Raw genomic sequence first — 27464 nt, forward strand, 5'->3', positions numbered from 1 at the left:
CCACCCGCCTTGGGCTCCCAAAGTGCTGGGATTACAAGCGTGAGCCACCGCACCCGGCATTCTATTTTCTATTTTCTTTTCTTTCTTTTTTTTTTTCTTCCTGTAGAGATGAGGTCTCATTATTTTGCCCCCAGGCTGGTCTCAAACTCCTGACCTCAAGTGATCCTCTCGCCGTGGTCACCCAAAGTACTGGGATTACAGGTGTGAGCCATTGTGCCCAGCCCTCGGTTTCAATTTTCTACATAAAATAAATAACTCGATAGAAATTAGACTTTATCAAGGACAGCACTAGGAACACATAGGCCACTCAAGACTAATAGAGCCCACTGCTGTAGTCAAAGATGCTTCAGTGGGTTATAATTCTGACTTCTATAATTAAATACTTTCACATATACCCCAGCAAAGAAAAATCAAGTGCCCCAGACACCCTTACTAAAAGACTCTGAACCAACAACACCTAGCTTTCATTTTTATACCAGAGATATTTTGGCAAGCCTGAGACCTTTATCAAAGTGTAAAATGTCCCCCAGCTGCCTCCATGCAAAGGAAGCTCCCTTGCAAAGAACACACTTTCTCGAAAGAGGGCGGCCCCAGAGTGCTTCCCCAAATGAACTCCTCAGGACCCAAATACATGCTGAATTGTGCTTTTCTAAATCAAACCTGTGGTCTGCAGTCTAAACACCTATCAAGACAACACCCATTTAAGAAACATAAAAGCAGAGTGAGTACACAACTCTCTCCTCTTTCAAAGCTTTCACAGAATTAAAGAATCTTTAGCACCTGGCTTCCCAGATTACAGAGAGCTGAGTGAATATTACATCCCCAAAGTCATATTTCCTACCTCACTACTCTAAGGAGAGTGCTAGGGTATCCATTGCTTTGCCATCTTGATCTGTCAAGCAGTTACCTCTCATACATCAGCCAAGAAGTGACGTTACTTACATGCAATACAAAGAGAGTAAATCCAAGAGCAGTCTTATTCCTGGATTCAGAAGCCTCATAGTACTCTGAGGCCAAGCTTGAGGATTCTACTTAAAGCAGCCTCAGCTCTGGAAACTCAGTCAACCCAGAACTAACATTCAAAGCTGATCAGAGAGTAAAGCTCTTTCGAAAGAAGAGGAAGTATCATCTCCACTTCCTCAATCCTAACGTTCTTCCTTCTCATTGTTATGAAACCCTTCCTTGATGCCCATATCCAGGACACAGTACATGTAAGGCAAGCACACCCCATCTGCCTGAGTTCATTGATCACTAAGCACTGCCCAGTGTATTCATTTGCCGAGCACATTGGTGGAACAGTTCATGGTTCTGCTTTCCTGTTTTGGAGGCAAGGATGTTCATTTACAGGCATGGAGGGTGAGATGATCTGCAGAGTCATTCTCAGCATTTTTGGGTGAAATGCCACTTCAACCTCTTTAGGTTCAATCTTCTTTCAGATTTCCCTCTTTCCTCCTTTCCTAATCGTTCATAATGCTCTAATAAAGAGAGGGTACAGACACATTTGTAAAACGTATTTTAGGATAAAAATAAGTCTTAGCCTGCCATCTTTTGCAGTAGACATAGAAGAGTCTCTAACCACAAAACTTTTCTTTCCCACATTGGAAAAGGAAAATGGCAGGCTGAAAGTCAGAGATATTCCATCTCATTACAAATTCCTGCCCTCCCAATCTCCCTTTCAACACCAGCTTCTTGTTTCTCTATACCTTCTAGGGAAATGAATACAGCTGGGCGTGGTGGCAGATGCCTGTAATCCCAACCACTCAGGAGGCTGAGGCAGGAGAATTGCTTGAACCTGGGAGGCAGAGGTTGCAGTGAGCCGAGATCGCACCACTGAACTCCAGACTAGGAGACAGAGCAAGACTCCAACTCAAAATAAATAAATAAATAAATATGTATGTGTATATATATATATAATATATATATATAATATATATATTATATATATATTATATATATATTATATATAATATATATATTATATATATATTATATATATAATATATATATTATATATATTATATATATATAATATATAAAATATATATATTATATATATAAAATATATATAATATATATAATATATATATAAAATATATATAATATATATAATATATATATAAAATATATATATAAAATATATATATATATAAAATATATATATATAATATATATATAAAATATATATATATAATATATATATAAAATATATATATATAATATATATATAAAATATATATATATATATATATATATATATATAGAATATATAGAATATATAGAAACCTAATCCCCAATGTGATTGTATTTAGAGGTGGACCTTTGGGGAGTGATTAGGTCATGAGGACAGTGCCCTCATGAATGGTATTAATTTTCTTATTAAAGAGAACCTGGAGATCTGCCCACCCCTCCACCATATGAGGACATGGCCAGAAGACAGTCACCTAGGAACGAGGAAGCAGGTCCTCACCAGACAATGAATCTGCTGGCGCCTTGATCTTGGATGTCCAGCCTCCAGAACTGTGAGAAATAAATGTCTTTTGTTTGTAAGCCACCCAGGCTACGGTGTTTTGATATAACAGCCTGAATGACTAAGACAAAGATAAAATGTAAACTAAATCTGTGGAGGAGTGAAAAAATGAAAGAAGATGCTGTACATTTTGAGCAGGAACAAAATGAAGGTTCTCTCAGCGGCTTCTTGTTTGTGTACACTTCTATTTCTGGAAGTGCTGCCTCATCTTCTCCCTATATTGAGTTGTCTTCTAGTTCCCTGCTTTACGTAGAAAAAAAAATGGTACTAGGTGATATTAAAGGAATTTAGTGGTATCAACAGCATGGCCTGGCTTCTCACCAGACATTTAGATGCCATCATCAAAGATATCCTCAAAAGACATGTTATTTACCTTTATGGGGCCAGAATAGAGCCACTTAAATTCTTTGAGCAAAGATGATTTGTAGAATTAGAATAATCCTCAAAACGGCCGGACTGTCAGTTCAAGATGACGGGCTGACCACAGATTTGCTCCCTCCCTCCCCAAAGACTCCGTTAAAATGAGAAAAGTATAAAAAGTTTATAGGGCCGGGCACGGTGGCTCACACCTGTAATCCCAACACTTTGGGAGCCCCAGGCTGGCAGATCATGAGGTCAGGAGATCGAGACCATCCTGGCTAACATGGTGAAACCTGTCTCTACTAAAAATACAAAAAATTAGCCACGCCTGGTGGCACGAGCCTGTAATCCCAGCTTCTCAGAAGGCTGAGGCAGGAGAATCGTTTGAACCTGGGAGGCGGAGGTTGCAGTGACCTGAGATCGCGCCACTGCACTCCAGCCTGGGTGACAGAGCGAGATTCCGTCTCAAAAGAAAAAAAAAGATATAAACCCACAATAACCCAAAAAAGGAGGAAAAGCATCAGAACTTGGGAGAGCACAACAGATTTCTGGCAGCCTGAAAGCCGATGGAGGAGCAATAACAGATGGAGGCAGGCAGGGGAACCACAATATCTCATTAGTTAGGAGAACACGGCGTTGGAGGAAATTGCCCGTGTGCGGTGCTGAATCCCTGAGAGGACCGGAACTCAAGCCAAAAGAAGCTAAGAGAGCTAAATGAGTGATAGGGTGACAGGACTGAAAACAGGAAGAGTAATTCAAAGTCTGTAAGAACTCAGCCCCTCCCATACCCCTCTTTCAAATCTCTCTGTCCGCCCAGCCTCTGCACAGCAAACACACACAATTCCAACCCCGGGCAGCATACCGAGGATTCGTCTCTACACATAGTGAAATCATGCAGAGAATACAGGCATTGTATGTGGATATGAGCACTCCACAGTCAGAACTCCACATTCTGGCAATAAGAGCCTCATCTAGCATGTGCTGGATGATGGATGATGTGCTTTTTTTTTTTTTTTTTTTTTTGAGACAGAGTCTTGCTCTGTCACCCAGGCTGGAGTGCAGTGGCATTAATTATCTCGGCTCACTGCAACCTCCGCCTCCAGGGTTCAAGTGATTCTCCTGCCTCAGCCTCCTGAGTAGCCAGGATTACAGATATGTGCCACCACACCCAGCTATGTTTTGTATTTTTAGTAGAGACAGTGTTTCACCATGCCGGCCAGACTGGTCTCAAACTCCTGACCTCAGGTGATCTGTGCACCTTGGCCTCCCAAAGTGATGGGATTACAGGCATGAGTCACCACGCCTGGCCTAGATATGCTTCTAATCAGTATCCTTAGAGACAGTCCTGAAGATATTGTATCCATTAAAAAGAACAGGATGCTAAGAAAGATAGATAATCTGAAAACAAGAAAGACCCCTTGGATATTGCAAATATAATTGTTAAATAAAGATTTTGATAGGTTGGGTGATAAATTCAAGTGAAATTTTCAGGAAATATTATTTGATGACATAGTCAAAGAAATAACATAAAGGATCCCCCTGAAGTCCAAGAATATTTAGATTAAAAAGTCTCATCGAGTGCCTAGGATGAAGAATTTCAAGTCACTGCAAAATTTCCAAACTCCGGAAATAAAGAGAAAATCTTAAAATCTCCCAAACACAGAAAATAAGTCACTTTCACAGAAACAAGGAATCAAAGGGCTCCAGATTTCACAGAAGTAGCATTAAGGGTTAGAAGGTCAGCGAGCACAGCCTTCAAAGTTCTGAAGGATTTATATTTCACTCTAGAATTTTGTGTTCATTCATCCAGTGTATTAGTCCATTTTCATACTGCCATAAAGAACTGCCAGAGACTGGGTAATTTCTAAAGGAAAGAGGTTTAATTGACTCTTATAAATTAAAGAGGTTTAATTCAGCATGGCTAGGGAGGCCTCAGGAAACTTACAATCACAGTGGAAGGTGAAGGGAAGCAAGGCGCCTTCTTCACAAGGTGGCAGGAAAGAGAAGTGCTGAGTAATGGGGTAAGAGCCCCTTATAAAACCATCAGATCTCATGAGAACTCACTCTCACAAGAACAGCATGGGGGAAACCACCCCCATGATTCAATTTCCTCTACCTGGTGTCTCCCTTGACACATGGAGATTATGGGGATTACAATTCAAGACGAGGTTTGGGTGGGGACACAAAGCCTAGCCATAGCATTCAGCAAATATTTTTGAGCACTGTGTCTAGGCAGTGAGGACGCAGCAGTGAACCAAATAAAGTCCTGCCCTCAGGGAACTTCTTTTCTCATGCTCAGATCAGGATGGTGTACTCTCTACACAAACAAAGAAAGTAAAATATAATGTGTTAGGTAGAAGTAAGTGCTAAGGAGGAAAAATAAATCAGCAGAGGAAATATATAGAGTCTAAGGAGAGGCTAAAAATTAGATGGGGAGGCCAGCAAAGGACTCACAAAGGTGACCTCTGAGTGACAGCCTGGAGGAAGTGAAGGCGTGAGCTGTGTAGACAGCTAAGGGAAGAGAAATCCGCAGACAGAGCCCCAAATGCAAACATCCTGCCACCCCCAGAGCCTTTTGGTGCCGCAGGAACAGCATGGGGGCAGGTGTGGCTGGAACAGAGCAGAGCGGGTCAGAGATGGAGAGGGGAGCCGGGGAACCCATGATTATGGTTAGGTCCTATGGGGATCGTTGTGAGAACTTGGGTTTTTGACTCTGACCAACTAAACCAGGAGCTGACAAACTATTTCTGGAACAGGCCAGATAGTAAATATTTTAGATTTCGTGGGCCAATCTCTGTTCAATTACTCAACCCTGCCATTGTGGTATCAAAGCAGCCATAGATAACATGTAAAAGAGCAGCTGTGCTCTAATAAAACTTTATCTAGGGCCACTAACATTTGAACTGCCTATAATTTTCACGCATCACAAAATCTTCTTCTTTTGATTTTTTTAAGCACCTAAAAATGTAAAAAACTGTCATAACTTACCAGCTGTGCAAAAATAGGCAGCAAGCCAAAAGCGGCCCGTGGAAAGTAGGTTGCTGATCCCTGAATGAAACCATCAATTAGGTGTGAAGGTAGAACATGCCCGTTTTCAGATATATCAGAGCTGACTCAGAAGGCTGACTGCCCACAAATCCTTTCTTTTTTTTTTTTTAATTTTTATTTTTTGAGACAGAGTCTTGCTCTGTTGCCCAGGCTGGAGTGCAGTGGCATGATCTCACCTCACTGCAACCTTTGCCCCCCAGGTTCAGCGATTCTCCTGCCTCAGCCTCCCAAGTAGCTGAGATTACAGGCGCCTGCCATCACGCCTGGCTAATTTTTGTATTTTTAGTAGAGACAGGGTATTACCATGTTAGCCAGGCTGGTCTCGCACTCCCAACCTTTAGTGATCCCCCCATCTCGGCCTCCCAAAGTGCTGGGATTACAGGCATGAGCCACTGCACCCAGCCTCCACATACCTTCTTAGGAAGTTACTTGATGATGGACCCCAGCAAAATAAGGGAGTAAACTAAAAAATGGAAGTGGTGGAATCCGGGAAACAGAAGACTCAACCTGGGAGCGTTGCAAAGGGAAATCCTTGGATGGGAATCAGGCAGCTGAACCACACAGCAAACATCAGCATGGAGCTCGGTAAGAGAGGAAAAGTTTCCAAAAGCAAAGTATTCAGGGGAAAATGGAATCACAGAGCGTGATACCACCCCTGAAATTATGGAGTAACCAATATGGGCAGCGCAGCCAAAGAAAGAAAAATAGAAAAACAATTAGAAAACATCAAGAAATAACAATAAAAGCAGTAAAGGAACAGAATGGAATTACTCTATACTGTTCGGCTTGTGAAGTTAAGGATAATTTTTACAGGCATAATAATGCAATACTCACAACTGATTTTCAATTTTGAGGATCAAGATCTGGAGAAAACATGTAAAACAAGAAGATACTGTAAGTGGCAGAGTGTGGTGGCTCGCACCCGTAATCCCATCTTTGGGAGGCTGAGGCAAGAGGACTGCTTTAGCCCAGGAGTTCAAGCCAAGAATGGGCAACAAAGGGAGACACTGTCTCTGTGTATATTTTAAAGAAAAAAAAAGAGAAAAGATTAAGACAATATAAATGTTAAAGTATGCTGGACTCTGATGGCAGCCACTAGCTACTAAAAATTAAGCTTTAGCTAATTAGAATAAAGTAAAATAAAAATTAAGTAAAAAAAATTAAGTAAAATAAAAATTAAGTAAAAAAAATTTCGGTTCCTTGGTTGCACCAGCCACAGTTCGAGTGCTCAGTAGCCACTGGTGTCCAGAAGCTCCCATCTTGCACAGCACAGACATGGAGCATTTCTCTTCATCTGGAAAGTTTCTTTGGAGAGCCCTGGGGGACATGAGAGGTGGAAAGAGAGGTTTGAGAGCCAACTTACAATTTGAGGATTGATTGAGATTCTCCACAAACAAGAAACAAGTGGGACCATATTATTTTAAAAGTTACCCAAGTAACTGACGAGCACTAACCAGGGAGTTAATTATAACACACAAGATCTGTGTGATCAGCTTGGAGTGGAGACAGCTGCAGCAGGAGAAGGTGGCTTTCCTCTTAGTTCCCCCTCCCTGGAGACCCCCGGGATCTCCAATTGTCCCTGTTTAGCAAAAGTTGGTCCACCCTTCAAGGTTTAGCCCTGATGTTAGGATGTTACTTCCTCAGTGAAGTGTTCCCCATCCCTCAGATTTAGCCCCTCCCTCCTTGTTCTCCCAGCATCCCGTGCATGTCTCCAGTGCACATTGTCCTGTGTTATTATAATGATGGTGAATCAGGGCATGCGACATGCATTCTCAAGGTCCCGGTCCTTAGAAGGGCCCTGTGCTTAGTTTAATGCTCTGCAGTCACTCTTTTGAAATGTTGAATAATTTATGAATAAGAGGTCCCCTATTTTCATTTTGAACTGGATCCCACAAATTATGGAGCCATCCTGTTTTTAAGTTTGCCTCTCTAGCTGGACTGTCAGCTCTCTGAGAGCAAGGATGCATCATTTTTGAGATTTGTATCCTCATGATCTAGTACAGGGCCCTCACTAAAATGACCATCTTCCCTAACTGATACTTATCTATATTTTTCTTGTGAGGGCTGTAATTTTATACTCCAAGATCCAAGGACATAATCCATCTCTCAGAAAAGCTATGGTTTGTAGGCTATTGGGAGCCTCTCTCACACCGTCCCTAAACCATCTCTGACTTTCTCTGATGCCTGAAATGCCATAATTACAGTTTTAGTCTTGCTTTTTTAAGGCATTTCCTTCTGTTGCACCGCCAGTCTCTCTGGGAGAGGTGGCCTTTAAGCTTCACTATTGAACTTTAACGAATATGAATTTGTCAGATCCCTTTAGTTTAGACAGAAACATCCCCATCCCCAAAGCAGACGAATCATTTTAAGTTCACACTTTGAACACATAACACACAGCTGTTACTGATTTGGGATGACGGTGGTAAGACATGTAGACAAATAACTCAAACAGCTTTCTGAGCCTCAGCCACTATAAATCAGCAAAGTGAAAATTTTAATGTTATACATGAAAATATATCAGTATTCAAGATTTTCTTGAAAAATTTATAGTCTCCAACACATGTAATATCATCTCAAATTTATGTCTGAAACATTTTCTCATCTTTCCCACTAATCAGGTATAAAAACCCTGCCCTGCTTTATTTACTCTTGGATATATCTATGGAACATGTGCTAAAATCTGGGGGCTTTGCATCTAGGAAAGGAGGAGAGTGTAGACAACCAAGCAGACTAGGAGGGGCAGTGTGTGACAAACGCTGTGTGCCTGATGCTGCGTAGAAGGATCCTGAGAGAGGCCGAGGCGGGTGGATCACGAGGTCAGGAGTTCAAGACCAGCCTGGCCAAGATGGTGAAACCCCATCTCTACTAAAAATACAAAAATTAGCCAGGCGTGTTGGCAGGCACCTGTAATCCCAGCTACTCGGGAGGCTGAGGCAGAGAGTTGCTTGAACCTGGGAGGCGGAGGTTGCAGTGAGCCGAGATCGCGCCACTGTTCTCCAGCCTGGGCAAAAGAACGAGACTCTATCTCAAAAAAAAAAAAAAAAAAAAAAAAAGAAAGAAAAAGAAAAAGAAAAAGAAGGACCCTGAGAGGTCGGGGATGGAAGAAGAGAATCTGGCAGGCTGTCCTTCATGGAGGACACAGCATAGACCCTGATCTTGAAGCACAGACGAGATACTGACAGGGGGAGAAGGAGCAGGAGATGACAACCGCTAACCTGAATAGAGGCTCAGATCAGCTGGTTGACGATCAGCTCAGTGGTTCTTGCTGAGCTGGCACAGCCTCCTAATGGGCATTTTAGAGATTTTGGTGGGATTTTGTTTGTCACAGAGATTGAGAGTTGTTCCTGGCATTTGCAGGGGGTAGGATGGGTGGGTGGTGATGGTGGTAGTGGTGAAGGGCGTTTGATTCCCCTCAAAACAAAGGGCAGTCCTTCATAACAAAGAATTATCCTATGTCCCACATAACTTCTAACATCCGGCCAGATACCTGTATTCAGTTGGCCCTTGAACAACATGGCGGTTAGAAGCACTGATCCCCTGAGTAGTTGAAAATCCACATGTAACTTTTGACTCCCCAAAAACTTAACTGCTAATAGCCTACTGTTTACCAGAAGCCTTATAGATAATGTGAACAGTCAATTAACACATATTCTGTATGTTTCATGTATAATACACTGTATTCTTGCAATAAAGTAAACTAGAGAAAAGAAAATGTCATTAAGAAAATCATATCCCAGCACTTTGGAAGGCCGAGGCGGGCGGATCACGAGGTCAGGAGATCGAGACCATCCTGGCTAACAAGGTGAAACCCCGTCTCTACTAAAAATACAAAAAATTAGCCGGGCGTGGTAGCGGGCGCCTGTAGTCCCAGCTACTCGGGAGGCTGAGGCAGGAGAATGGCGTGAACCCGGGAGGCGGAGCTTGCAGTGAGCCGAGATCGCGCCACTGCACTCCAGCCTGGGCGACAGATCGAGACTCCGTCTCAAAAAAAAAAAAAGAAAATCATAAGAAAGAGAAAATGTATTTACTATCCATTACATGGAAATGGATTATCATAACAGTCTTCATCTTCATCATCTTCTCATTGAATAAGCTGAAAAGGAAGAGGAGTTGGTCTTGCTGTCTCAGGGTGGCAGAGGTGGAAGTGCTGAGAAAATGAAAGGGAGACAGGAGAGGAAGGCACACTCAGTGTAACTTTCACAGAAAAAAAATCTGCCTCTAACGGGAGCCATACAGTTCAAACCCATATGATTCAAGGGTCAGGCGTAATATGAATAGTATGGAAGGTTTAACTGACTCTAGAAACAAAGTCTTTTTGCATCGTTTTACTATATATACATTGTTCCAGGAATGCTACTTTCATAGTTTAAAATGTATCTTGTAAATTTGTTTTGTTTGGCAATTTACAAAGAATTGTTGACCATTTCAGAAATCACATTAGCATGATAGCCCTGATTATAGTATGAGTCTTGTAACAATCTGCATGATAGTAGTTGTCACATTTGCTGTGATTTGACATGTACATATGAATACGGTTAGTTAAATGTTACCTCAAATGCTAAATTTTTTTTTTACTTTTATTTTATTTTATTTTATTTTTTTGAGATGGAGTCTCACTCTGTCTCCGTCGCCCAGGCTGGAGTGCAGTGTCCTGATCTTGGCTCACTGCAAGCTCCGCCTCCCAGGTTCATGCCATTCTCCTGCCTCAGCCTCCCGAGTAGCTGGGACTACAGGCGCCCACCCCCACGCCCAGCTAATTTTTTTGTGTTTTTAGTAGAGACAGGGTTTCACCGTGTTAGCCAGAATGGTCTCGGTCTCCTGACCTCATGATCCACCCACCTCAGCCTCCCAAAGTGCTGGGATTACAGGCGTGAGCCACCGCGCCTGGCCAATAATTTTTAGAAGTATCACCAATGTTTAGTTGAATATTATCTTAGCCTTAAATCAAAACTTATGCATTATAAATTAGAGTCTGACTATTTCATTTGTTTTCCTAGTGTGGTCATGCCTAAGCATTTATACATTAAAATACTGTAGATATTATTTTATTACTAAATGACTTTTATTTCTCCTATATATATAAATACACACACACACGCACACATATATATATATATATTTCTTTTTTTTGAGGCAGAGTTTTGCTCTTGTTGCCCAGGCTGCAGTGCAATGGCATGGTCTCAGCTCACTGCAACCTCCACCTTTGGGGTTCAAGCAATTCTCCTGCCTCAGCCTCCCAAGTAGCTGGGATTACAGGTGCCCGCCACCACGCCCGGCTAATTTTTGTATTTTTAGTAAATTGGGGGATTCACCATGTTGGCCAGGCTGGTGTTGAACTCCTGACCTCAGGTAATCCATCTGCTTCGGCCTCCCAAAGCGCTGGGATTACAGGCGTGAGCCACCGTGCCCAGCCTGTCCTTGTATTTTATTCAGAGCAGTAAGAGCTAATGGATATAGAATGCATATTATGTGCCAGACACATTCTAAAAGCTGTGCATATTGCTTACCTATCTTCTCAATAACTCTATGAGGCAGGTACTATTGTTACCCCCTTTTCAGAGATGAGAAAAGTAAGGCACAGAGAGGTCACTTGCCTGAGATCCTATGGGTAGTAAACGGCAGAGGCTGGATTCAAACCTGGCCAGGCCGGCTCCAGGCCTCGTGCTTTCAGCCAAATTACTATATCTCACTATATTGTTGTTGTTGTTGTTTGGTTTGTATGTCGGCAGATTATATTATTTATGAATTTTATTTCAAAATAGTAAAGAGGGTGTTTCAAAATATATTTGATGATGGAAAGGGAAGCACTGAGAACCATTGGCTGAAAATTGACGCTAACATGAAGGAGCAGGAAGTGAGAATTAAAACGTAAGGGCAGCTGAGGGCTAGGCTGAGACTCACCCCAGTGTTCAGCTCAGGAGTATGAAAGTGAGTTGCGTAGGATGCCAGCCTCCTTGAAGAAAAAGCATTCTGAACATCACGTATTTTGCTAACATTCTATCATTCCTCTATGCAGAAATATTCTTTTTGTTAAAAGGAACAAGATTCTCAAAGGCAAGGACTTTCTTTTCTTTTAAACTTTAAACCTCCAGGTGCAAAGTATGTATGGCACGTTATGGCCAAGGAATGTTGTTTGAATTCGTTATATTTTCCAAAATTAAAGACTAGAGTACAAATTTTAGTCTTTCCTCCTCTGTGTTCCTCTATGTTTTGCCCCTCATACACTTATTAGGAAAAACAACAGCTCCATTCTGATATCACTGGGTTATTGTATCAGCCTAATGTATCTCTATTCCCAAGAATGCCAAAGTTTAAAAGAGTCACTTTCTGTTTCAGTAAATGAGATAGTAACTGGAGCAATTTTAGCATGGATTGTTGCATAACATTGACCTGTTGGCTAATAAATCCCAGAGAGTGTGCAATACTGTTGGGTAAGATCCTTGTTTTACCATTTCTGAATCAAGCCTTACTCGGAGATGATCAGAAGACCACCCCCATGTCAGGGGTGCGCAATATCTGGACTGTTTTTACCTCCCTTGGTCTTGAGGATATCACTGAGCTAAGATTCTGCTGGTGATGTAAAGACCCAACCAACACCTATGAGCCCTGAGTCAGGCTGTAATTTGTTAGTGAAGCAGCCTTTTGGCCAGCAGGGATCTCATCTGTCACTCATACAGGCTTCTCCTAGTGTATCCCTTCTTACAACATGTAGTGCGGTTCTGCTAAGCACTCTCTCCCCAGCATCTACGTTTCCAGACAAGATTGTGCTTGTTGTAGACTGGCACTCCCAGGGAACCATCAAGTGAGCGTGCACATTGACAGGGCCTAAGAAGAGGATCAGCTTCCCTGCACCTTCTAGACCACAAATGCCACCAGCCAGGCACTTCAGGAACCTGCAAACATGAATCATCCTTTAGGCACGGTAAGAAGAGACTTGCACAAACTGGATGATCAAAGAATCGGAAACAGGTAAATGAAGTAGGTGCTGAAAATATTTTCAAGTACGTATCTGGAATGGCGTTTCCAGTATAGATGATTTGTCAGATTTTCAAGATGTTACTAGCAGCTAGGGTTAGTTTAACAGGAAGTCAAAGTGTTATAGATCAAAGATTCATCAAAAAGTAAAGAGGAATTATTCACAGCTCCTTCAATTTCTACAGTTCCAGCAATTTACTATATTGTAAATTGAGGTATTTCCATGATTATAATTCCACCTACACTGTAAACTGCTAGAAGTGAGAGTCAGTATCTTGTTCATAAGGTATCTCACAATGCATAGCACATAGTAGGCACTTCATAAATATTATTGAAACGGTAAAGATGGAAGAAGTGAAAAAGATGTAAATGGATATGTATTAATTTCCTATTGCTCTTCCAACAAATTACTGCAAACTTAGTGGCTTCAAACAGGCATCCCCAACCTCTGGGCCACGAACCGGTATTGGTCCCTGGCCTGTTAGAACAGGGTGTCACAGCAGGAGGCGAGCAGCGGGTGAGCCAGCGAAGTTTCATCTGTATTTACAGCCGCTTCCCATCGCTGGCATTACCACCTCAGCTCCACCTCCTGTCAGATCAGTGGCGGCATTCGATTCTCATAGGTTCAAGAACCCTATTGTGAACTGCGCATGTGAGGGATCCAGGTTGCACGCTCCTTATGAGAATCTGATGCCTGATGATCTGTCGCTGTCTCCCATCACCCCCAGATGGGACTATCTAGTTGCACGAAAACAAGCTCGTGGCTCCCACTGATTCTACTTTATGGCAAGTTGTATAATTATCTCATTATATATTATAATGTAACAATAATAGAAATAAAGTGCACAATAAATGTAATGAGACCGACCTTCCCAAAACCATCTCCTCCACCCTCGTCTGTGGAAAAATAGTCTTCCACGAAATTAGTTGCTGATGCCAAAAAGGTTGGGAACCAATGGCTTAAAACATCACAGATTTATTATTTTACCATTCTGGAAGTCAAAGTCTAAAATGGGCTGGCAAGGCTGTGCTCCTGGAGGTAGCAGGAGAGAATCCATTTCCTTGTTTTTTCCAGTTTCTAGAAGCTACCCGCACGCATGCCATGGCCGATGGCACCGTATCACTCCGGTCTCTGCTTCCATTGCCTGTCACATCTCCTCCTGTGACCCTGATGTTCCCACCTCCCTCTTACAGGGACCCTTGTGAGTACACTGGACCCACTGGGATAGGCCAGGATAGTCTCTCCATCTGCAACATCCCTTTTGCCATGTAAAATAACATCGTCACAGGTTCTAGAATGTGGACATCTTCCCAGGGTGGTAGAGGGGGGCATTATTCGGCCTACAAGCACTCTACCAGGGCAGACTTTCTCCCCTTACCTAATTCTAATAGTTCATAATACTTACCTGCTTGGACAGTCCATGAGTAGCTGGATATCGTCAAGCCCCAGAATGTAAGACAAGATAATGTTTCCAAATCCCTAGCTCAGTTCATATCAATGGAGTCAAAGCAGAGGAGACACTAGATTTTTCCAGATCCTTTACTTTCCTCACAAATAAATCACCAAGATGTATCACCATAACTATCTAATATTTCTCAGACTCCTCTCCTTCTTCCCATCCTGCCGCCTCACTTCACCTTCAGGCCTCATTTTTGGCAGAATTGCAATAGCATCCTGGGTAGTTTCCCCACCTCCAAGTGAATTTCCCCCACCCCTCCCTCCAAGAGGCTGTGCAATCTCTTTAAAAAGCAAATCTATCACTCCCTGGGAGCCAAGCACAGCACCGTTAGAAATATTTGCTGAAACATTTATTGAACAGAATTGGTGATAATAGACACTGATTTGAAAAAAAACGGATCCTATTATCTTTGATCTACTTCAGTTCTCGTTTGTGAGGGACTATTTTGATTGGACTTCACCCACTACCTGTGGGTAGTTTTGTAAGAAAGCCCATTTATCTGGCAAATTAATTCATGTATAATACACATGAATCATATTTATAATAATAGCTTTCTAAGATTAAAAGGCACATCACAGAGGAAATACATGAACTCCTCAGCCTGGACTAAACCGATCACTGCCACCAAGTGGCAAATGTTATCATTGGAGCCCGGAAGCACAAGGACACAACAGTTTCTTCCATTCATTTGTTCTGTTCCAGCCTCCGATGCATAAGGAACGCTATGGAATGTATCCAAGACCCACATCAGAACAGCAAGGAGCTGAGGTTTAGAGGAGTAATTAACAGGATTTTTATATCTAAGCAGGAAAAATGAAGTAAAAATACTTGTGAGCTTCACCATAGAAATTCGTTATTTTTTCCTTCTGCTTCTTTCCATTTCAACTTTACAGACACAGTGTTGCCTTGTTTATTGACAGTCAAAGGGGTATGACATTTGGGAAGGTCATTTTCAAAGTAACTCAAGATGATGTCTTTAAGAACTAAAACATATTTTTAAAATTTAACCACATATAACGGGCATGTATAGATGCCTCCCTGACACAGGAGTTTGAACAAAATGATGTGCTGTCTGTCTTGGTGCAGCCTGAAAGGCCAGTAGCTGCCAAGAAGGATAACTTATTTGGTGTCAGAGTGTAAACTCACCACAGTCCAGGGGCAGGCCCATCCTTGCAGGCACAGAAACTCTATTTTGTCTCTGCCTTGGGATTTTCTGTCCACAGGGATGCCGACTTAGCCTAATCAAGTCACACACAAAAACCAGAAAGCAATGTACATATTTGTTTCAGATAGCAAATATAGCACATCATATATTGACATTAGTTTGACTGCTGTTTTCTGTGCCTGTATCAGGCGTTGGGGTTAGGGATAGAAGTAAAGAGGAGGGGGAATCGGAGATGTCCATGTCAGAGAGAAGTAGAGAGCTGGGTTGCACAATTCATTCTGATGCCATTTCTGCTCTTGTTCTAGTTTATGTGGCTTAGCAATATGCCTCCTTTTTCTGGGTAATTAACATGAGTCTCTGTTCCTTACAAACCAGAGGATGAGCTTAAAAGATTGTTAAACACGTAATTATCTCTAATTATGCCGAGTATAAACAAACGGCTCTTACGATGTTTCCATCTGTAAAACTGATATGCCGATTCTTGCTTAAGACTTAGAGGTCTTGTTTGAGAAACTCTACGTGACTCTGATTCTCATATCCTAATTCCTACTTTACATCAGACACTTCTTCTGACATTTAAAAAGACAGGCTGGAAACTGTCATTCTTGAAGAAATAGCTGTAGAATAGCCTCTCTAAGCTACTTGGGAATACCAGAATACCAGAACAGCAGTTCTTTACAAACTGCTAATATACACCTTATAAAATACTGACCGAACTAATGGTCATAGCATCATAATGGTAACATCATTCATTTTCCCTTTTACACAGGTCCTGCCTATTATCTTTTGTGTCTTTGCTACTCTCTTGTTTGGACTTACTTAGGATTTTTAATTGTTTATAATAATATTGTGGTATATTCAAATTGTAATACTTGCTAAAAATGCAAGTTGTCAATTCCTTTTGAGACACAGCTAGTAATTCAGGAAATTTCTGAAGCACAAAAAGTTCACCTATGACCTTTCCATGATTATGCAATTACAGCCTCAATATGTGCTAAATATGGGTTGTCAAGAAGCCAGGAAATCCAGGTAGCAGCAAAGATTGAAATGAGCTAAAATGTAGCTGCGACTTTTTTTTTTTTTTTGACATGACATCTCTTACTCAAATAAGGGGGAAGATTTTTATAAGTTAATGATAATTGAAATAAAAATTGAGAGTCAGAACCAAACTAGTCAAGTTCATGGTTCATGCAGGCTGCATCAGCCAGACAGCAGAGAAGAAAGAGAAGGCCATACCCCGAAAGGGACTGGAGCCTGGAACGCCCCGCCCCCTGCACCCCCTACAAGTATGGCCAAAAAAACCACAAAAAACAAAAAACAAAAAAAACCCAGGACTTAAAGTAATTTAACTCTCAGTTAACTGTCAGTAATTGCTGAACAGCTGTGGTGGCTCATGCCTGTAATCCAAGCACTTTGGAAGGCCGAGGCAAGAGGATCACTTGAGGGCAGGTGTTCAAGACCAGCCTGGGCAACATAGCGAGACCTTGTCTCTACAATAATTTTAAAAATGAGCGAGTCATGGTGGTGAGCACCTGTATTCCCAGCTACTCAGGGGGCTGAGGTGGGAGTATCGCTTGAGCCCAGGAGTTCAAGGCTGCAGTGAACTATGATCATGCCACTGCACTCCAGCCTGGGCGACAGGGCGAGACTCAGTCTTTAATGAAGTCTCACTTAGAAAAGTTCCTCCCACTTAAATGTAAGACCTCAAATTATAAAAATCCTAGAAGAAAACCTAGGAAATATTCTTTTCAATATCAGCCTCGCCAAAGAATTTATATAGCTAAGTCCTCAAAACCGATTACAACAAAAACAAAAATTGCGAAGTGGGACCTAATTAAAATAAAGAGCTTCCGCACAGCAAGAGAAACTATCAAAGGAGTAAACAGACAACCTACAGAATGGTAGAAAGTATTTGCAAACTATGCATCCAACAAAGATCTAACATCCAGAATCTATAAGGAACTTAAATTAACAAGCAAAAAACAAATAACTCCATTAAAAAGTGAGCAAAGAACATGGACACCTCTCAAAAGAAGACATACATGTGGCCAACATAGGAAAAAACACTCACCATCACTAATTGTCAGAGAAATACAAATCAAAACCACCATGAGGCCGGGCACAGTGGCTCATGCCTGTGATCCCAGCACTTTGGGAGGCTGAGGGGGGCGGATCACTTGAGGTCAGGAGTTCGAGACCAGCCTGGCCAACATGGTGAAACCCCATCTCTACTAAAAGTACAAAAATTTAGCCCAGCGTGGTAGCATGCACCTGCAATCCCAGCTACCGGGGAGGCTGAGGCAGGAAAATCACTTGAACCTGGAAGGCAGGGGTTGCAGTTAGCCGAGATCATGCCACTGCACTCCAGCCTAGGTGACAGAGCAAGACCCCGTCTCAAAAACAAAAACAAAACAAAACAAAAACACAATGCGATACCATATCATACCAGTCAGAAATGTCTTTGTTAAAAAGCTATTTTGTTAGAAGACAAGAGATGCTGGTGAGGCTGCAGAGAAAGGGGGAAACTTACACACTGTTGGTGGGAATGTCAATTTGTCCAGCCACTGTGAAGAGCAGTTGGGAGATTTCTCAAAGAACTAAGAATTCGTGGCTCTGCCTAGGTAGTAGCCATTTTTTTATTTCTTTACTTCTCTAATAAACTTGCTTACACTTAAAAAAAAAAGAGAGAACTAAGAATTGAACTACCGTTTGACAGAAATCCCATTACTGGCTATTTACCCAAATAAAATCAAGTCATCCTACCAAAAGGACACATGCACCCATATGTTCATCACAGCACCATTCACAATGACAAAAACGTGGAATCAACCCAGTGCCCATCAACAGTGGAATGGATTTTTAAAAACCTATGGAATACTATACAGCCTTACAAAAGAACACCATGGAATACCATACAGCCATGAAAAGAACAAAATAATGTCCTTTTGCAGCAACTTGGATGCAGCTGAAGGCCACTGTCCTAAGTGAACTAACATAGAAACAGAAAATCAAATTCTACCTATTTGCCTTTATAAATGGGAGCTAGACACATGAACATAAAGATGGGAACAATAGACACTGGAGAACACAAGAACAGGATGGGGAGAAGGGCAAGGCTGAAAAACTACCTATTGGGTTCTATGGGCTCACTAACCAAGTGACAGGTTCAGTCCTACCCCAAATATCAGCATCAGGCAATATACCTTTGTAACAAACCTGTACATGTAACCCCCGATCCTAAAATAAAAGTTGAAAAGAAAAAAAAAAGAGTTCCTCCTTCCTTATCATCAACATCCTCACGATGGGTCAATATAGCCCTGTTTTTTTGTTGTTGTTGTTTGTTTTGTTTTGTTTTTACATATTTGACTTTTGCTCTAACTTCTGCATTTCAAAGAGAAAAAAATACCAGAGCATGTTTCTGAAGACTCCCTGCTTTCATCCTCAGATACCTCTGGGCTACTCTATTCTGAGGGAAGGAAACAGGTACATGCCTATGCTCACGAAACACACCCAAGCACCACCACTGAGTAAGAGGTCAAACTTCTGTTTCCACCAAAGGGTATATGGGTTCCCCAGAGCTGTGCTGTCAACAACAGACGGCCCTCTTGCAGGGTGTAAGCCCCTCTCCTGAATGCCCCAGCATATCCTGCCCCTGGCAGGAGTTTCCAAAGAGAACTTCACAGGCACTGGGAGAAGGAAGACAAAGGCTCTGTTTGAGACACTGAGTCCATACTAAGATTATAACTAAAAGGCCATGACTGACAGCAAAATGCATTTAGGGATAAATTAACATGAAGTTGAATGTAAATTTAAGATCATATTTGTAAGTTTCACCACCACTTTTGAAATTAAGAGTATAGGTAGGAAGATACTATTGGGATGATTTTTTACCCAGAAAAAGAAAAAGTTTGGAGAGAAATTGTGTCAGAGATTGCATATGTATGTGTGTATGTATGTATGTATGTATGTGTATTTATTTATTTGTTTGCTTGTTTAGAGAGACTGCAGCCTCACTATGTTGCCCAGGCTAGTCTCAAACTCCAGGCCTCAAGTGACTCTCTCACCTCAGCCCCCACAAAGTGCTGAGAATACAAGCATGAGCCACAACATCCGGCCACAGATTAATTAATCTAATAAAAAGTTTGTCAATAATGAGGCCAGGTGTGGTGGCTCATGCCTGTAATCCCAGCAGTTTGGATGGCCAAGGCGAGCAGATCACTTGAGGTCAGGGGTTTGAGACCAGCCTGGCCAACCTGGCAAAACCTTGTCACTACTAAAAATACAAAAAATAGCCAGGCATGGTGGTGCACACCTGTAGTCCCAGCTACTAGAGAGGCTGAGGCAGGAGAATCGCTTGAACCCAGGAGACGGAGGTTGCAGTGAGCCAAGATCACACCACTACACTCTAGCCTGAGTGACAGAGCGAGACTCTGTCTCAAAAAACAAAAAAAAAAGGTTATCAGTAATGATAGCTTTTTGCAAATAAATTTTAAAATTTATATTAAGATAATATATAGATGACATTATTGTCTGATTAAGTCATACCTTATTAATTAAGTCATTATCAAAAATTAAGACATTATTGTATGAGTAAGTCTTTATCAAAATTTAAGAAATAGAATCCATTTGTATCTTATAGTCATTTATTGTCAGGTCACACTCCGCATAATTCTTTTTTTTGAGATGGAGTTTCGATCTTGTCACCCAGACTGGAGTGCAATGGCGTGATCTCAGCTCACTGCAACCTCCACCTCCCGGGTTCAAGCAATTCTCCTGCCTCAGCCTCCCAAGTAGCTAGGATTATAGGCATGCACCACCACACCCAGCTAATGTTTGTATTTTTAGTAGAGACGGGGTTTCACCGTGTTGGTCAGGCTGGTCTCGAACTCCTGATCCCAGGTGATCCACCCACCTCAGCTTCCCAACGTGCTGGGATTACAGGTGTGAGCCACCACGCCCAGCCTGCATAGTTCTGATATGCATAAATTTCTGTTTCCCGTCCCCCAACGCAACATGGTGCAAATTGCATTTACTAAAATATATTAACAGTAATTAGATAAAGTATAAATTTGACTCCTAGCTCTTCAGTCCCTAAATCACTATGCAAATAACATGCACATCGTGATCAGTGACCAATTATGTCACTTCTTAGTCTGCTGTTGGTCACCGAACATCTGTTATTCAGTTCACACACAGACAGCGAAGTATATACAAAAACGAGTTAGTAGAAGAGGAAATAAAAATAAAATTTTTAAAAAGAGGGAATTATCTGGTAAAAAAAAATAAAAGTGCAGCAAATAAATGAAAAGTAATCAGGCTAGCAGTGCCTTTCCAATCAAATGTAAATGGAGTTATGGAAGAAGTAGCCAAGCATGGATATGTGGACACCACTGCTATTCCAGAGACTAGATGTACAGCCCAGGAACTTGGTGAACATGAACTTGGCCACATAAGTGGGGAATGAGTTGTGACACAAAGCATAAAGATGTTCCAGAGGGAGTGACATGGGCAGATAAAAATAATCACATTAAAGAAACTCTCAGAAATATTTCTCATTCAAGCACAAAAGATAAAATGTTGGAAGTTGATTCAAATTTAGGAGTATGACAATTCTCCAAGACATAGAAAAAAACACTGTCGGCCAAGTGCAGTGGCTCACACCTGTAATCTCAGCACTTTGGGAGGCCGAGGCAGGAGGATCACTTGAGCCCTAGGGGTTTGAGAACAGCCTGGGCCATGTGGCAAAACCCCATCTCTACAAAAAATACAAAAATTAGCCAGGAGAGGTGGCGCATGCCTGTAGTCCCAGGTACTTGGGAGGCTAAGGTGGGAGGATCGCTTGAGCCCAGGAAGTCGAGGCTGCAGTGAGGCATGATGGTGCCAAAACAGATGCTGCTTCATATCGTAAGTTGTATGATTAGAAGAAGACATCACTGTACAAACTAATCTCGATATTTTTCACAGAGAAATAAAACACTGTAATTCTCAGCGTTTCTAACATTTTAAGTTACCTGATACTAAATGAACATTTGTTTTACTATTTTTTATTTCCTGATACATTTATAGATAATAAGAGAGTTTTGACACAAAATTTTTAAAGGTCACAGAAGAATCTTAATTTTTCCCATTGATTAAGATTGCTTTGCACGGTTTCGGCTTGTATGGTCATTTTTGTGGCCCTGCACTACTGTGCAAAGTGAGGATTGTTTGTACTCTATTTTATTATTTATTTTATTTTATTTTAATTTTTTTGAGATGAAGTCTCACTCTGCTGCCCAGGCTGGAGTGTCGTGGTACAGTCACAGCTCACTGGAGCCTTGACCTCTTTCACATGCTGAAAATGAATGCCTCCTTTTTAGCAATCATCATCATTATTTCACAAGTAAAAACAACTATTTCAGTAAGCACCCCACAATGATTATCTGCAATTTGAAGACTGATTTCTAAAACTGGGCACTGCCCAAGTAAGTACCTTTTCTCATAGCAAGCTGAATACAGCTGTAGTGTCGCTGCCATTTTCATGCAGGTTTTCAGTCTTAAAATGAGGGATTTTAGGGATTCCACCCTGCCCCTAGTCTAGTCTTACATATTGTACTTGGCTGTTTCATACTTCAGCAGCGAATAGCTCGATGCCTTGCTCTCTCAGAGCCTGGTGTATCCACTTGGTCATTTCCCCTTCCTAGAATGCCTTCCCCACTCCCACTATCTGGTTGTCTAACTCAGAGACCTTTCATGTTTATCTTTATAACTTCAGGCTCTGCCACAGCACTGTCAAACAGTATATGTCCAGTAAATTGTTTTGAAGAAATGAATGAATGAATCCTCAAGTCGCACCTCCAACCACACCTGCTCTGAGACTTTCCTGCCTCCGCTAAATGGACCGGGCATTTTCTCCTCTGCAACTTGTACGCCCCTATCTTTGTTCTGATTAATACTTGATCTTTCAAAAACAGGTACAATCTGCCGGGCACGGTGGCTCACGACTGTAATCCCAGCACTTTGGGAGGCCGAGGCAGGCGGATCACGAGGTCAAGAGACAGAGACCATCCTGGCTAACATGGTGAAACCCCGTCTCTACTAAAAATACAAAAAATTAGCTGGGCGTGGTGGCAGGCGCCTGTAGTCCCATCTACTCGGGAGGCTGAGACAGGAGAATGGCGTGAACCCGGGAGACGGAGCTTGTAGTGAGCCGAGATCACGCCACTGCACTCCAGCCTGGGCGACAGAGTGAGACTCTGCCTCAAAAAAAAAAAAAAAAAAAAAAAAAGTACTATCATTGATTGCCCTGCTTTAAAAAAACATCCTCTCCTTGGTCCCCAGTCCCTCAGATAAAGTTCAAACTCCTTAATTGACATTCTTTGTTTATTCTTTCCTTCATTCAGTGAGAATTTATTAACTGTGCATGTTATGAACAAGTTGAGGGCCCTTTTCTCAAAGATTAGCCACATGCATTAGCTGAGAGACACACAAACAGATCATTGTGGTGCAATGCAGGGAATGCAGTGACAGGGATGGAGACAGCATATTTCCACAGCAAAGCGGAGGGGCCTTATCATTATCCAGAGAGCAAGTGGAAAGGAAAAGTTTTCCCTGAGAAGACCACCACCACTCATCCTAGTCTCACGGATGAATGAAAATTCATTCATCAAAGGAGAGTGAAATGGAAAGGAAGCAGGCATACTTTTTACAAATAGACTTGGGGCTGGGCGTGGTGGCTCACGCCTGTAATCCCAACACTCTGGGAGGCCGAGACGGGCAGATCACCTGAGGTCAGGAGTTCAAGACCAGCCTGGCCAACATAGTGAAACCCTATCTCTACTAAAAATACAAAAATTAGCTAGGCATGGTGGTACACACCTGTAGTCCTAGCTACTCGGGAGGCTGAGGCAGGAGAATCGTTTAAATCCAGGAGGTGGAGGTTGCAGTGAGCCGAGATCGTGCCACTGCACTCTAGCTTGGGCAACAGAGGGAGACTTCAACTGAAAAAAAAAAAAAAAAAAAAAAATATATATATATATATATATATACACACATGTATATATATATACACATACACGTATATATGTGTGTGTATATATATGTATATATATGTGTATATATATGTGTGTGTGTATATGTGTGTATATATATATGTATATATATATGTGTGTATATATATGTGTGTATATATATATATGTGTGTATATATATAATGCTTGGCCAGGTGCAGTGGGTCACACCTATAATTCCAGTACTTTGGAAGGCTGAGGCAGGAGGATGGCTTGACACCAGGAGTTTGAGACTAGCCTGGGCAACATAGGGAGACCCCCATCTCTACAAATAATTTAAAAATTAGCCGGGCGTGGTGGTGCATGCCTGTGGTCCCAGCTACTTGAGAGGCTAAGGTGGGAGGATTGCCTCAGCCTGAAAGGTCAAGGCTGCAGTGAGCCATGATAGTGTCACTGGCACTCCAACCTGGGCAACATAGTGATATCCTGTCTCAAAAAAAAAATAAATAAATAAATAAATAAATAAATAAATAAATTTATATACTTACTATATAAAAATTTATATATATATATAAATTTTTATATAGTAAGTATATAAATACACTTAATAAATTGGGATATTAAATATATCAGGAAATTATACCATAGCAGTACAGCGAGATCTTCATTCCTCCTTAAACTTCTTAAAACTTCATCATATGGATGCACTGTAGTTTGTTCAAACTGTCCCCTATTGGTGGACATTAATGATATTTCTAGTTCTATTATAATGCTATCATAAATAACACTGCCAATCGATGGCATTGAGCATATTTGTTGCATTTTATGCTTTTGTCCTTTGCAGCTTTGGGATAAATTCCTAGAAATGCAATTGCCAGGTCAAAAGGTAAATGCAAGGATAATTACACTAAATATTGATAAATTATTCTCCATAGGAGCTGCATCATTTTGAATTCTCATTATTAATATCTGAGACTGCAAGACAATTTATAGGAAGATTTTTTAAAAAGAAAAGATGATGCAAAAATTATGATTTCAGAACTATACTTGTTAGTGTTCTATACTCATATAGTGTACATGAGAAAGAAGAGAGTTAAAAGGTATAAGGCACCAGGTGCGGCGGTTCACGCTTATAATCCCAGCACTTTGGGAGGCCGAGGAGGGCAAATCAGTTGAGGTCAGGAGTTCGAGACCAGCCTGGCCAACATGGTGAAACCCCATCTCTACTAAAAATACAAAAATTGGCTGGGCACGGTGGCAGGGGCCTGTAAACCAGTTACTCAGGAGGCTGAGGCAGGAGAATCGCTTGAACCCAGGAGGCGAAGGTTGCAGTGAATCAAGATCACACCACTGCACGCCAGCCAGGGTGACAGAGCAAAACTCTGTCTCAAAAAAAAAATTTTTAATTAAATTTTAAAAAGATATAAGGCACAGAGGAGTTCAGGGTTGTTGAGGTGGAATCATAAAATCCGAATATTTATTTGAATGGAACTAAGTGCAAAAAAATAAACAAGTTTCTCACTAACCTTTGTCATACAACAGAATGAAGCAAATACACAACTCCTGACAACTGTAAGGAAGTGAGAGCCTGACTGTCAAGCAGGGGGAGTGGAAGGAAATAAATAGTACATTTCCCATTATTACTAAATCAAGGCTTCTTTGTTCCCCAACTCTATTTTTTCTTTTAAGTAAATCTCCCAACTATAAACTTTGTCTGTCTCAGCAGTTTTCAAGACCTTTACCCTCAGTTAGGGAGCCCTATCACACTGGCCCTGTTATGTTCGGGTTCCTCTCCCCACCCTGGAGTTTTATTTTTCCCCAGAAGGGAAGTAGTCAGGGTAGCAAGTAAAGAAAATCACTTTTAACGCTGAGCAATTTGAACCAGGCAATTGAACTCCTACATCTGATCCCCCCTGCCCAAACTTTTAAATCTGTCTTCTGGATTCTTTGGAGAAGCTGGTAAGGGAGGCAGACTGTGTTGTTTTATTTATTTATTCCTCTGTAGTTGATTTAAACCAAAAAAGTTACACGTGGATGCAAAACGTATGTAAGCAATGATGCAGGTACACACACAATCCCCCCTGCAACTTAAAAAGTAGAAGATTGGCTGGGCATGGTGGCTCACACCTGTAATCCCAGCACTTTGGCAGGCCAAGGCGGGTGGATCACTTGAGGTCAGGAGTTCGAGACCAGCCTGGCCAATATGGTGAAACCCCGTCTCTACTAAAAATACAAAAATTAACTGGGTGTGATGGCATCCACCTGTAATCCCAGCTACTTGGGAGGCTGAGGCAGGAGAATCACTTGAACTCGGGAGGCAGAGGTTGCAGTGAGCCAAGACTGTATCACTGCACTGTAGCCTGGGTGACAGAGCAAGATGCTGTCTCAAAAAAAAAAAAAAAACCAAGAAGTAGAATATTATGCTGTCATTGAAGCTACGTATGTGTTCCTGCTTGATCCCATCCCCTTTCTTCCCTCTAAACCTCTTCCAGCGGATGTATTTGCATTTACAGAGTTAGCTGGATTTGCATCCAACAGATGTATTTGCATTTACAGAGTTAGATGACTACTCTGCAAATAGGGCCACTTTTGCCCCATTGAGTCTTATGTGTGAGTCTTTGTGTTGTCTGAGCAAGGCGCATCATCCCAGAGTTGCAGTAAGAATTTGTCCTCAGGAGCACTGGCTCTTCTGTTCATTTAGGGTGCATCTCTCTCAGCTCATGGTTGTTAGTCCCGTATATTCCTAACAAACCCAGCAATGCCTTATAAAATATCTTCACAATGATTTGTCCAAGATTAAGTGGTAGCGTAGCAGGAGAGGGTTCCTCGTGGTATCTAGGAGCCCATCCTGCTCTGAGTGGAAGGCTGCAGTTTCCTAATTCTTGCCTCTGGCCTTAGGAGAGTATCTTTCCTTCTTGCTATATTCTAAGGAAAGATTACAACAAATCCTATTTCAATTCTGCTACCCTTGAAAAGGGTGGCCGGGCACAGTGGCTCACGCCTGTAATCCCAGCACTTCGGGAGGCTGAGGCGGATAGATCACGAGGTCAGAAGATCGAGACCACCTTGGCCAACACGGTGAAAACCCGCCTCTACTAAACACACACACACACACACACACACACACACACACAAATAGCCAGCGTGGTGGTGTGCGCCTGTAATCCCAGCTACTTAGGAAGCTGAGGCAGGAGAATCACTTGAACCTGGGAGGTGGAGCTTGCAGTGAGCCAAGATTATACCACTGCACTTCAGCCTGGGCAACAGAGCGAGACTCCCTCTCAAGAAAAGAAAAGGAAGAGAGGGGAAGGGAGGGCAAGGGAGGGCAGGGGAGGGCAGGGGAGGGGAGGGCAGGGGAGGGCAGGGGAGGGCAGGGGAGGGCAGGGGAGGGGAGGGAAGGGAAGGTTTGTTAAACCTGGCGTAGATTCAAATAATTGGTAGTGGGTACCTGAAATTCTGCCTTGGCAAACTGAGAATGTTTTTCAGGGCTCTTCTGACCCAGTAGCAGTTTCTCCCACGACCAGGCCTGTGGTGAGTGGCAGCGGCAGTTGAAAGTCTGACCTCTGCATTTTTCAGCTGACCACCTATTGCTTGGCACTTTACTCTCAAGAATTGGTCCTTGGTTACCTGGATCTACCCGCAAAGCCTTAGTCATTGATAAGACTGGCTGCAGGCATTTAAAAAGTAAACATCTCTCCCCGTCGAATTTCTTATCTCTTCCTTCATTCATTCCTGACCTGCGGTACCTCATGCACTGCTTACAAATCAGTCTCCCCAAATTTAATCTCTTTGAATCAGCTCTGATTTTCTAAATTCTAGCAAAAATGACGCAATGAAGAACTTTATTATCTGAATTTGTGCCTCGTATCAGCTCCTATTCTGACTATTTTTGATGACTAATTCTGATTTCTAGTTAATAACCATCACCTGGCATATCAGTT

The 27464-nt window shown here is 41.9% G+C and overlaps 1 protein-coding gene and 1 long non-coding RNA gene across 5 annotated transcripts in view; both read right to left on the reverse strand.

The window, feature by feature from the left end:
• The window catches only part of IPCEF1 (interaction protein for cytohesin exchange factors 1), a 202308-nt gene extending 201234 nt beyond the window's left edge, over nucleotides 1–1074 (reverse strand). For all 3 annotated transcript variants that reach the window (NM_015553.3, NM_001130700.2, NM_001394799.1), the window contains exon 1: nucleotides 943–1074. The gene's annotated coding sequence lies outside the window, so the exon portion shown is untranslated. The remainder of the gene's footprint in view (nucleotides 1–942) is intronic.
• Nucleotides 1075–4163: 3089 nt separating this feature from the next.
• LOC105378067 (uncharacterized) lies at nucleotides 4164–16984 on the reverse strand. 2 transcript variants are annotated; one of them, XR_007059823.1, is made up of 3 exons: nucleotides 15517–16984; nucleotides 6349–7252; nucleotides 4164–5935 (listed from the first exon to the last, which is right to left on the reverse strand). It is a non-coding gene; the product is annotated as an uncharacterized LOC105378067 (long non-coding RNA). The 2 variants fall into 2 exon arrangements; XR_943131.3 differs by lacking the exon at nucleotides 15517–16984 and having other exon boundaries at nucleotides 4164–5204; nucleotides 5876–5935; nucleotides 6349–8788.
• Between the last annotated feature and the right edge of the window lie 10480 nt (nucleotides 16985–27464).

This window comes from Homo sapiens, chromosome 6 (assembly GCF_000001405.40).
Source record: "Homo sapiens chromosome 6, GRCh38.p14 Primary Assembly".
Classification (NCBI taxonomy): domain Eukaryota; kingdom Metazoa; phylum Chordata; class Mammalia; order Primates; family Hominidae; genus Homo; species Homo sapiens.